The sequence below is a fragment of the Homo sapiens genome, chromosome 16 (assembly GCF_000001405.40).
Source record: "Homo sapiens chromosome 16, GRCh38.p14 Primary Assembly".
NCBI classification, from domain to species: Eukaryota; Metazoa; Chordata; class Mammalia; order Primates; family Hominidae; genus Homo; species Homo sapiens.
This window is the reverse complement of record NC_000016.10, coordinates 12050249-12063250: the sequence shown is the minus strand read 5'-3', so window position 1 is coordinate 12063250 and position 13002 is coordinate 12050249. Positions and strand designations below refer to the sequence as shown.

At 47.8% G+C, this 13002-nt stretch overlaps 1 protein-coding gene across 22 annotated transcripts in view; it reads right to left on the bottom strand.

Moving 5' to 3' along the window:
- Positions 1-13002, bottom strand: part of SNX29 (sorting nexin 29) — a 597554-nt gene that overhangs the window by 511037 nt on the left and 73515 nt on the right. For 21 of the 22 annotated variants that reach the window (XR_001752024.3, NM_032167.5, XM_017023874.2 and 18 more), the window contains 2 exons: positions 11029-11404; positions 1605-1723 (listed from right to left, as the gene is read on the bottom strand). Coding sequence is in view for 21 of the 22 variants with exons in the window: in NM_032167.5 (NP_115543.3) it covers positions 1605-1723; positions 11029-11404 (495 nt within the window). In the remaining variant the exon portion in view is untranslated. Of the gene's footprint in view, positions 1-1604; positions 1724-11028; positions 11405-13002 lie in introns of those variants that run through there. The other variant, XM_047434888.1, reaches the window with a different exon arrangement.

The following is a 13002-nucleotide window of genomic DNA, read 5'->3' as shown; positions in this document are numbered from 1 at the left end:
AGCTCCTGGGCCATGGACAAGATGTCCCTGAAGCTCTCACCAGGGGCCTTGGCATGTGCCTGGCACCTTCCCCAGATTAACTCAAGGCGCCTTCACTGTGGATCTCAAAGGTAGCTGATATAATCACACCCCCCACTCTCACAGGACTGTGCTCAAGAGCAGATGAGTTCATCAGGGTCAGCCACACTGCAGTGCAGGGCTCCTTTGGCTTTGCAAATGCTGGCTCTCATTGTCACTGTCATCCCCATTTTCCAGATGAGGACACAGCAACTGACAGACAGGAAGCACTCAGCCTCATTTAACAGCCAGGAATGCTGACGCTCAGAGCAGTAATGCACTCAGGCTTACTCAACTTTCTAGAGCTAGTACTGCATCTGACTGGCCCCGTCCTGCTGCCAGTGACTGTCCCCGCCCTGCCTCTGTGCTTCAGCTAGTTTGAGTAGGTTTATGCTCCCTGCCAAGTGACAGGAAGAATCTACACCCCAGTTCAGAATTTCAACAGCTTCCTGAGTGATTAGTGGGCTCCAGTCATAATTTCCTAAATCTGGGCCCAGAGAAGGCACATTCACTTCCTAAGAAAACGAGGAGGCGCCTAAGAAGGTTGGGCCAAGTCTTCTCTGACCCAGCGGTGTTCTGAGGGCAGGGACAGCAACTGGGCACTTCTCTGAGCCAGATGCTGTGCCAGCTGCATTACACTGCACCCCACAGGCCAGCTGGGATCAACCACGTCCTCCCCATGACCTGCACTAAAGAAAACAATAACAAACCACACGGGCACGTGCTCAACCGTGTGGAATGGTGCAAAAATGCTTACCCATACCAGAGACATATTTATTTATTTATTTATTTATTTATTTATTTATTTATTTATTTTGAGACAGAGTCTCACTGTCACACAGGGTGGTGTACAGTGCCACGATATCGGCTCACTGCAACCTCCACCTCCCGGGTTCAAGCAATTCTCCTGCCTCAGCCTCGTGAGTAGCTGGGACTACAGGCACACACCACCATACCCAGCTAATTTTTGTATTTTTAGTAGAGACAGGGCTTCACCATGTTGGCCAGGCTGGTCTCAAACTCCTGACCTCAGGTGATCCACCCGCCTCGGCTTCACAAAGTGCTGGGATTACAGGCATGAGATATCGCACCCAGCCCAGAAACAGCTTTTAACCAAGCTACTTCCTGATCCCCAAGCACTTTTCTGCACAGGGTGGCAGGGCCTTTACAGACAGGGGTTCAGTTACCTTCTTGCATCTCCAAAGAGGCAAAATCGTGGTCACTATTTGTGGTCAGCTTTTAAACGACCAAGTTCAACGGGCCACTGGTAAGGGAGAAAAACAGGCCTGCAGGCCCTGGTGACTTGCCAGCTGGTTCAGCCCAACACTCACTCCACGGAGAGCACCTCAGGATACCCAGGTTCAGGGAGAGAAGCCAAGCCCTCTCTCACTTCTGCATCTCAGTGAGCTCCCCCTGGCCCTGAACCACACCCCGACTCCCGTGCCTCCCGGCTCCCATTCCTACCTGTCCAGGGAACTCAGACATTCCTGCTGGTTCTCGAAGCCAAAGCTCTTATTGGAGGAAAGGAGTAATCGGGAGACACCCACCTGCTGGGCTGTAGGAGCCCACGCCACTGACAGGGAAGAGGATGTCGGAGTCATTGTGCAGCACCTTCAGCGGAGCCCAGCTGTGCATCTGGGAGAGGCAGGTGTTCCCTTCCAGTGGCCTAAGGTGAAAGAATACAGCTGCAGGACAGGCCAAAGAGCCCACAGGCCGCATGACTCACCAACAAGCATCCACAGCACCCTCCTGAGAACTAACCAGGCCAAGGCAGGGCTGAGAACAGAAGGAGGTGTGGGCTGGGAGGTAGAGCGTGGAGTCCAGATCCAGACCTCTTGCATTTGTTCTCTCAACCAGTGTTTACTGAGCACCTATTATATGCCAGGCACTGTGCTCCCTACTGGTGGCAAAAGAGCCAGTGAATACTGTTGATCCTGCCCTGAGGGAGCCTGCAGTCTGTTGGGGGGCATGAACATGAACCAAATAATCCTGCAAGAAGCTGTAAATGGCATCTCAGATTGTGGAGAAAGCTCATTCCAGGAAGGTCATGGAAGGCTGCCTGGAAGAAGCAGGGCTTGAGGAGGGGAGCTGGAGGAAGCCCAAGCCACCGAGTGAAGAGGAGGGACAAAGGCTTGGGGAAGGGGACAGCACATGCATCACAGGCCATCTGCTCCACGTTCCGAAATGACAGCAGCCACCTGACCTAGGGCTAGCGTTGCTCCGCCTCGCTGCATCTGAGCCCCTCGTGGGTAAAAGGACAGAATCAGACCAGTCACGTCTGGGTCCCTTCCAAGAAAGGGAGTCGGCTCAATTATTAACCATGCTCATATGATCTGTTATACTGTCACCTTACCCACAAAGTACAAATCTCTAATGCGTGCCATCTTCGAAACGCCAGGCAGTGTGGTTGGGTTTGTTTGGGAGTAATTGCCCCTGCAGCACTTGCCTCTGAGCAATCAAGAAATGTTAATAAATACCTGGAGGTATTTTTGCAGTATAGCCGTCCCCCAGTATCTGCATTACATCTGTATCAACCGTTTCAAAAAACCCCTGCAAATCTGAGGATGCTCAAAGTCCCTTGTTTTGTTTTAGAGTTGGAGTCTTGCTCTGTTGTCCACACTGGAGTACAGTGGCACAATCATAGTTCACTGCAACCTTGAGCTCTTGGGATTTGGCAGAGCCTCCTGCCTCAGCATCCCGAGGAGTTTGGACTACAGGTGTGAGCCACCATACCCGGCTAATTTTTTGTTTTGTTTTGTTTTTTTGTGAAAACAGGGTCTCCCTATGTTGTCCAGGCTGGTCTCAAAATCCTAGCCTCAAGCGATCCTCCTGCTTCAGCCTCCCCAAGTGCTAGGATTACAGGCATAAGACACCTCGCCTAGCCTGAAGTCCCTGATGTAAAACGGTGTAGTATTTGCATAAGCACATCCTCCCACATATGTACTTTACATCATCTCTAGATTGCTTATGATACCTAATACAATCCAAATGCTATGTAAATAGTTGTTATACTGTATTTTTATTGTATTATTTTTATTGGTTTTTTTTTGGTAATATTTTTGATCCACAGTTGGTTGAAACCATAGATGCGGAACTCACGGATGCAGAGTCCATGGATGCAGAGAGCCAGCTGTACTGTAAGGTTTAAACATCATTCTGTATCTCAGTAGATAAAGAAGACCAAAGCAGATCATAATCATACCTACTTAAGAAGGGAAGTGCGGGGGCAGACAAAGGGAAGGGAGGCAAAAGAAGAAAAAGTGTGTGGCTTGTCCAAGGCCATCAGCACTAAGCAACAGAACCAAGGCTGTGGGACTGGAGCCCAGGTCTTCCAAACTCAAGTGCACCGAGTCGTCTCCTGCCCACAAGTGACATTACTTATATAGTTTGTCTTTATGTTAGAGCTACTCTAAAATCAACAAATATTTTCTGTAATAGACCAGAGAGTACATATTTCAGGCTTCATGACACAGTCTTCTTTCTTGGTGTCTCTTAATAACTCTTTAAAAATGTAACAACTGTTCACTGCTTGGGGGCGGGTTTGGTCCGCAGGCAGGGATTGCCAGCTCCTATTTTAGAGGCTTGTCAGGTAGAAGTCTCCTTTCAGCCCTCTCTAGCTTTTGGCCAGACATGTGGCACAGAGTGAGAAGCACAGGAGGAAATAATCCTAGCAGAATTTTGCAAGACAGATCATTCAACCATGCCCATACCACAATGAGGCTTTCAGACAGCAGGGTGGGGGCAAAAGAAGAGCCGCTCCCGCGACTGTCCTGGCAGGAGCCCAACCTGGGGGAGAACCAGATGACCTTGGCTGTGCCTCTGGAATCTGTCAAGAGGCGCCCTCCTGAGGCTCTGACCTGGCCACTGGTGACCACGGAGCCGGCACCCAGAGGTGGTCAGGGGCGCCCTTTCAGGAGAAGGCAGCAAAAGCAGACAGTCCTTTCTAGGCCACTCCACTGCCTCAGGGCAGGTGCGATGTTCTGCTGGTTTCTAAGATAATTCTTGACCCTTCCCCGCAACATATGCAAGTACAAGGTGAAGCCAGGCCCCAAGAGGATGAGGTTCCAAACCCGAGAAGTGAGCCCCAAGGACCACCGCCTCAAAATGAGTTACATTAAAGATTGCTGGCCAGGCCAGTGGCTCACATTTATAATTCCGGTACTTTGGGAGGCCGAGGCAGAAGGATCACTTGAGCCCAAGAGTTCGAGCCCTGTCTCTACAAAAAATTTAAAAATTAGCCAGGTATGGTATTGCACACCTGTAGACCCAGCTACTGGAGGGGCTGAGGTGGGAGGATCCCTTGAGCCTGGGAGGTCGAGGGCTGCAGTGAGCTGAGATCATACCACTTCCTCCAGCCTGGGCCACAGAGAAAAAAAAAAAAAAAAAAAAAAAAAAACCCAGGCCGGGTGCTGTGGCTCACACCTGTAATCCCAACACTTTGGGAGGCCGTGGCGGGTAGATCACCTGAGGTCAGGAGTTCAAGACCAGCCTGGCCAACATGGTGAAACCCCGTCTCTACTAAAAATACAAAACTTAGCAGGGCGTGGTGGTGGGTGCTTGTAATCCCAGCTACTTGGAAGGGTGAGGCAGGAGAATCACTTGAACTCGAGAGGCGGAGGTTGCAGTGAGCTGAGATCCCGCCACTGCACTCCAGCCTGGGTGACAGAGCGAGACTCCATCTCAAAAAAAAAAAAAAAACCAAAAACCAAAAAAAAAAACACCAGTGGGCCCCAAGGGCTACTGCCTCAAAATGAGTGACATTAAAGATTCCTGAAGCTGACACTGCCTCAGTATCTGGTGCCTTGATTGGCTTAAAACCACTCATTATTACAACTGTTGCTCCTCAGCAAGACAATTAACACACGTTATTTGAAAACTTAGAAAATGCCCAAAAGAAGAGAGAGAAAAAATAAACCACCCAACAGCCACATTATCCAAAACATTACTGTGTCAGACTCAGTTTCCCACATGTCTTTTTTTCTTTCCTGCTGTGCGGACTATTCTTTACACAGTTGTAATGAAGCAAAATGTTGAGTTTTTTATCTTGTTTTTTCCATTCAATATTAACTCATTAGGCCAGGCATGATGGCTCACACCTGTAATCCCAGCACTTTGGGAGGCCAAGGTGGGCAGATCACCTGAGGTCAGGAGTTTTGAGACCAGCCTGGCCAACATGGTGAAACCCCATCTCTACTAAAAATACAAAAAATTAACCGGGAGTGGTGGTGGTCACCTATAATCCCAGCTACTTGGGAGGCTGAGGCAGGAGAATCGCTTGAACACAGGAGGCAGGGATTGCAGTGAGCCAAGATTGTGCCACTGTACTCCAGCCTGAGTGACAGAGCGAGAACCCAGCTCAAAAAAAAATATATATATAAAATATATATATATATGTATATGTATGTATATATGTACTCATTAGCTCAGCTTCATAACACTAGACACTCTTAAACATCATTTGAGATGTTTGAGATCCTAAATGTTAAAATGTCAAGGCTTAAACTATAAAATCTTCTGCTGTTAACCGTCCCCCTGTGGCTGCACATTTAGGTCAACTCCAGTGTTCTGCTTCTCTGAATAAGAACTTTGGTATCTAGATGTAGCAACTTTTCCCTGAATCGAGGGTATGTTCTCTGGGCTGCTTCTCGCACTGGGACTGCTAAACCAAGTGGGATAAACATCCTTAAGTTCATGCCAGTTTGTCAAACTGCTTTCCCCCATGGCTATCAACTGCTCCCAGCTCAACTGCTTCCAGCTGTCTATGAGGTCAGCCCCTGTGCACCATCCCTGCAGCCTCATTCATCCCACAGACACCAAGTGGATGCTATGGGATGTGCCAGGAACTGAGGACTCACTGACAGCAAGATCTTTCCCTTCCACCAGGGCGCCAACCCAAGGTCTCCGCAAATATGATGGGCAAAATATGGAGTCTTGTTTCACTTTGCATTTGCTTAACTGCTAGTGAGATGCAGAATAGCGAGACACAGCATATGTTTGTAGTCCTTTCTGAATTATGTTTCCCCCTACTTCCCTACCGGTATCATAGAGCACATATAAAGTGATTTAAAAAGCCCCATCTGGGCCTGGCTCAGTGACCCATGCCTGTAATCCCAGCACTCAGGGAGGCCAACATAGGAGGATCACTTCAGGCCAGGAAATCAAGACCAACCTGAGCAATGCCTTGAGACCCCATTTCTATAAAAAATTAGCTGGGCGTGGTGGCATGTACCTATAGTCCTAGCTACTCAGGAGGCTGAGGCAGGGAGATCACTTGACACTAGGAGTTCCCTGAGTTGAGGGTGTGATCAGGCCACTGCACTCCAGCCTGGATGACAGAGCAAGACCTGTCTCAAAAAAACAAACAAAGAAACAAAACAAAACAAAAAAAGAACAAAAGAACAAAACCTGACCGTAATAAAAATACTATCCCTTGTAAAGAAAAATACAAAACGCAAAGCTAATACTTATGATAAATACAGAGGCAGAAGAAACAAGACTTCTTCAGACATCAAAGAATGGGTTAATGACCAGTAAACCAATGAGTAAGCCTAACTTTGACCAACAGAGGGTCTTAAAGACAACAGGGCAGCAGACTCTGCCAGACACTGTGGCAATCCACAGTGAGCTTCTCCTGGTCTGGCTGCATTCCCCTCACACATCTGCTGTGCACCAGCCCCCTCAACCTTCCCTGTGAACACTAGCTTAGAATCAAAATCAAAGCATTACTCAGCAGGCCATCCCATCACTCCGCTGTGTCTTCCCCAGGCTGCTCTGTGGAAGGGTCAGTCAAGATCCCTCTTAATGCCGGGGAGAGCTGTCCAGAGTCTGCAGGAGGCCCTCTGGCTTCAGAGGGCCCAGGCCAAGTGAAGGTCACCCTGCACTGTGTTGGGCATTTACACACAATGCTGGGGGCTGCCTTGGCTCACACACCAGCCTCACCCATGGGGCTACACTCAGTGGCATCAGCAAGCAGCATCTCCTCAAAGGCCCAGATTACAAAGTAAAGGCACATGGCCAGGTGCAGAGGCTCATGCCTGCAATCCCAGCACTTTGGGAGGCTGAAGCAGGTGGATCACTTGAGCTCAGGAGTTCAATACAGGCCTGGCCAACATGGTGAAACCCCATCTCTATTAAAAATACAAAAATTAGCCGGGTATAGTGGCACACTCCTGTAGTCCCACCTACTCTGGAGGCTGAGGCAGGAGAATCGCTTAAACCTGGGAGCAGAGGTTGCAGTGAACTGAGATCGCACCACTGCACTACAGCCGGGGCCATGGAGTAAGACTCTGTTCCAGAAAAAAAAGAATAAAGGCACTTGTGAGGGTTAATTGTATGTGTCAATTTTGCTGGGCCACAATACCCAGGTATTTGGTCAAACATTATTCTAGCTGTTTCTATTAGATGAGATTAACATTTAAATCAGTAGATTCTGGGTGAACCAGATTACGCTGCATAATGTGGGTGGGCTTCATGCAAGCAGTGCAAGGCCTCGATAGGAAAAAGACAGACCTTCCAAAGGAAGAAGAAATTCTGCCAGCAGATTGCCTCTGGACCTGAACTGCAACTCTTCCCTGGGTCTCCAGTCCACACACCTAACCTGTGGATTTTGGACTTCCCAGCCCCACAATCACATGAGCCAATTCCTTAAAATAAATCAAGATAAGACCAGGCGTGGTGGCTCATGCCTGTAATCCCAGCACTCTGGGAGGCTGAGGTGGGTGGATCATTTGAGGTCAGGAGTTTGAGACCAGCCTGGCCAACAGGGTAAAACCCCATCTCTACTAAAATCACAAAAGTTAGCGGGGTGTGGTAGGTACCTGTAATCCCAGCTACTCGAGAGGCTGAGACACAAGAATCACTTAAACCCAGGAGACAAAGGTTGCAGTGAGCTGAGATCGTGCCACCGTACTCCAGCCTAGGTGACAAAGCAAGACTCCATCTCAGAAAAAAAAAAAAAAGAAAGGAAACAGAGACACAGAAACAGAGATAGAAATGGAGTTAGAGGTACAGATAGAGGTAGAAATTGAGAAAAAATAGAGCAGGACAGAGAAGGAACTACACACATCCACACACAGAACGTCCGCCTCAGCCCCACCACACTGGTTCTGTTTCTCTAGAAAGCCCTGAATAACACAGCAGGTCACAAGACTTGGATGCCAGGTACAAAAACATTCATACCCTATGAGCAAGAACAAGGCTGCTGAAAAGCTGCCCTAACAAACAGTTCACTCGTAGGAAAAAAATCTTGCGTGTGAAAATATTCATTTGAGATCCGCTGATAACAAAAAGCAAAAACAAAAACCATCAGCATAAATACCCAACAAAAGGGGAAACATTTCACAAGTCATAATATGTTGATCTGACTGAAAGGCAACTGCGTTAGCCACGGTTCTGCGGAGAAATGGAACCAAGGGGTGTGTGCCTGAAGAGAGAGAGACAGAGAGATACAAATACAGGTTTATATTGAGGAACTGCTCCACACAACTGCAGGGACCAAGAAGTCCCATGATCCGCAGTCCACAAGCTGAAGACCCAGGAAAGCTGGGGGTGTGGTGAAGTCCAAGTCTGAAGCCTGAGAACCAGGAGAGCAGATAGTGGGAGTCCCTGGCCCAGGGCCGAAAAGCCATGTTCCAGCTGAAGCTAGCAGGCGGAAAGGAAAGAATCCCTCCCTGCCTTCACTTGTTGTTCTGTTCAGGCCTTCAATGGATTGGATGAGGTCCACCCACACTGGGGAGGGCTATCGCCTTTACTGAGTCCACCAATTCAAACACTTCCCTCACCCAGAAACATCCCCACTGATCCACCCAGAAGCAGAATATTCAATCTGGGCATCCCACAGCCCAGTTAAGTTGACACACAAAATTAACCATTACATCAACAAATCAATATTCATAATTAAGTAGAAACATGAAAAACATTTGACAGAATAGCTGGGCACAGTGGCTCATGCCTGTAATCCCAGCACTTTGGGAGGCCAAGGCGGGCAGATCACGAGATCAGGAGTTTGAGACCATCCCGGCTAACAGGGTGAAACCCTGTCTCTACTAAAAATACAAAAATTAGCCGGGCGTGGTGGCGGACGCTTGCAGTCCCAGCTACTCGGGAGGCTGAGGCAGGAGAATGGCATGAACCCGGGAGGCGGAGTTTGCAGTGAGCCGAGATCACGCCACTGCACCCCAGCCTGGGCGACAGAGCAAGACTCTGTCTCAAAAAAAAAAAACAAAAACTGACAATATAAGCTTTGGATTACAGCATACCTGAATCCAAATCTCAATTTAGCCAATGGCTTTCACAAATCTTGCCTCCCTATGGAATCCTGTTCTTCTGTCTGTAAAATGGAGGTGATACCCATGAACCTCATAGGGCTGCTAGACGTCTTACAATATAGGGTATAAATCATCTGCAGCACCTGGCATATCTCAGATGATCAATAAGGTAACACTACTAGTACAAGCATCCATGCAGATGAGGACTAGAGTAAAAATAAAAAACAATAATAGGCACAGTCTCATCAGAAAAAAAAAAAAAACCCTAATATTGTAACAACATGAAAACAAAAATCTTAGGGCTAAGGGTATACTGCAGCCTAAACAATACCATAAGATTTAGGTCAGATAGAAAGATACATTTCTGTATATTCATTTTATACTTTTTATTTTTTTGTAGAGACAGAGTCTTGCTGTGTTGCCCAGGCTGGTATCAAACTCCTGGCCTTAAGGAATCCTCCCAACTCAGCCTCCCAAAGTGCCGGGATTACAGGCATGAACCACTGCACCTGGCCTCATTTTACACTTTAATGGACTGGATTTTGCAGTAGTCATGATTAGGAGGGCACTGCGCACCACAAAGCCTAAGAGGTAACTAGCTTATTTGGGGTATTTGGGGGACTTTTTTTTTTTTTTTTTTTTTGAGAAGGACCTTCTCTCTTGTTGCCCAGGCTGGAGTGCAATGGCATCATCTTGGCTCCGCCTCTCATATTCAAGCGATTCTCCTGCCTCAGCATCCCAAGTATCTGGAGTTACAGGCATGCACCACCATGCCTGGCTAATTTTGTATTTTTTTATACGTAGAGAAGGGGTTTCACCATGTTGGTCAGGCTGGTCTAGAACTCCTGACCTCAGGTGATCCACCCACCTTGGTGTCCCAAAGTGCTGGGATTACAGGTGTGAGCCACTGCGCCTGGCCAACTCCACTGTTAAGGCAGCAGGTGCAGGCAAGTTACGGCTATTCACACCCCTGCAGATAAACACAGAAGTCACCATACCACAACTATTCTCCTAACGCTGCCTTCGTCCTGAGCTTCCTGTGCTAGTGGCAAGTCAGATGCAAGGAAAATCCAGAGTAAAAATAAAAAACAATAACAGGCACAGTCTCATCAGACTGTGAAACCCTGTGAACCCTGTGAAATGAAAATGACAGATGTATGTATAAAGCAAGAATTTCAAGGCACACATTCTGACATTAACTTTGTATTAAGTGCCCTCAAATGTACTCCTTTCCCCTCTTTCAGTTCTCAGGGGAAGAGCAAATAATACTCCTTCCAAATAACACTCCTAAATCAACACCTGAAGAATGAATGATACCCTGGGCAAATATAAAGCTTGCAGACCTATTTTACCCAATACCATAGAAAGAGAAAACAGTGAACTTAACCCCCTCATTAAAAGTGCAAGGGAAGGCTGGGCGTGGTGGCTCATGCCTGTAAACCTAGCAATTTGGGAGGCCAAGGCAGGCAGATCACTTGAGGTCAGGAGTTTGAGACCAGCCTGGCCAATATGGTGAAACCCCATCTCTACTAAAAATACAAAAATTAGCTGGGTGTGGTGACAGGTGCCTGTAATCCCAGCTACTCGGGAGGCTGAGGCAGGAGAATAGCTTGAACCCGGGAGGTGGAGGTTGCAGTGAGCTGAGATCACGCCACGGCACTCCAGCCTGGGGGACGGTGAGACTCCACCTTACACACAAACTTACTTCTCGGGCGACTCCGAGTGGCCCCTGTGCTTCCTTCCTGATGAGTTTCCATACACGTCATCTTCGTTTTCATCCACATCTTCATCATCGATGCTTTTCACATCAAGCTTCTGGTACCCAAACTCCCCGTTCAAAGACAGGGAATCAATTTTCCATGAGTTGCTGCTCTGACTTCCATTGGAGTTAGGCCCGAAGGGGCTTTCAAAGGCGGACATGATATTGACAGAGGAGCGGTCGGAGTTGTCCTCTGAGCTCTCCCCTGCCCCAGGTGTCTTTTTAAACACGTCCCCAGAGTTCTGCTCATCTTCCTCATCATCAAATGAGATTATGTTGGTCACTTTCTTTTTCTTCTTCCGCTCCTTTTTGCATTTGGCATCTGGCAAAAAAAAAAAAAAAGATACAGTATAAGAAAAAGGAGGCAAGACAAAAGGATGATGGAACCAACTCACCTCCAGGTTATGGAAAATACTATTCGAGTGAGAAATACACTGTAACATGAATTCAGACTTTTTAAAATCCTCAGTGAAAATCTGTGTACAGAAGATTGAGCAGAATGGACGCAGGCCTCTGCCTCTGATTTAAATAAACACACCACAGAGCACATCTTGAAACTGTTCCTTCTAAGCAGTCACTTTGATGCGAAGGATGCTACCATTACCAAAATGATCTTCAATGCTTCACTTTGGAAAATATTCTCATAGCTGGTAGATGAGACCAGGAGAACCAGCTGGGGGGTGTAGTCAAGGGTTGAGCAGCCTCAAACTCCTGCCATTCCTGTGCAATGCCCCTTTGCAATGGATCTTTGTGGCTCCTCCCAGCCAGAGGTGATGTCTATTTCTGCACCCTCTTGAATCTGGCTGGCGTAGTGCTCTGCTTTTTTTTTTTTTTTTAAGAGTTGGGGCATCTCGCTCTATTGCCCAGGCTGGAGTACAATGGTGCAATCATAGCTCACTGTAACCTCAAATTCCTGGGATCAAACAATCCTCTGCCCTCAGCCTCCTGAGTAGCTGGGACTACAGGTGCATGCCACAACACCCAGCTAATTTTATTATTATTTGTAGAGATGAGGTCTTGCTGTGCTGCCCAGGCTAGTCTCAAAACTCCTGGCCTCAAGCAATACTCCCACCTCAGCCTCCTAAATTGCTGGGATTATAGGCATGAGCCACCATGCCCTGCTTCTACCAAAAGAATGTGGCAGAAAGGGCCGGGCGCGGTGGCTCACGCCTATAATCCCAGCACTTTGGGAGGTCAAGGCGGGTGGATCACCTGAGGTCAGGAGTTCAAGACCAGCCTGGCAAACATGGTGAAACCCCGTCTGTATTAAAAATACAAAAAAAAAAAAAATTAGTTGGGCGTGGTGGCAGGTGCCTGTAATCCCAGCTACTTGGGAGGCTGAGGCAGGAGAATTTCTTGAACACGGGAGGCAGAGGTTGCAGTGAGCCAAGATTGCGCCATTGCACTCCAGTCTGGGTGACAGAGCGAGACTCTTTCTCCAAAAAAAAAAAGTGGCAGAAATAACACTGTGTGAGTTCTAGTAGCTAGGTGTTAAAAGGTCTCAGCTTTGCCTTTGCTTTCCTGGACAGTGGCCCTGACCCCATATATAAAGAAGCCAGTTCAGCCGACTGGAGGATGAGAGGCTATGAGTAGAACCCGAGCTGCCCCAGCACTGATTCCAGACACGTGGATGGGGCCATCTTGGATCTTCCAATCTAACCACCAGCTCCCATGAGTGAGCCGAAAGAGCCCAGCAGAAGAGCCACCATGCCAACCCACACAAAAAAGTAACGAACTGCAGTGGTTTTAAGCCGCTACATTTTTAAATCACTTGTTATATAGCAAATGTTAACTGAAAAAGAAATCAAGCTTGCCTTAGTGACCAGCACTCACAGAAGACACTTTGTGCCCCTATTTTAATCATCACACTTGGATGTAAGACACTTTGAGCCAATTCCAAAAATCCAATCTGTCTAAACC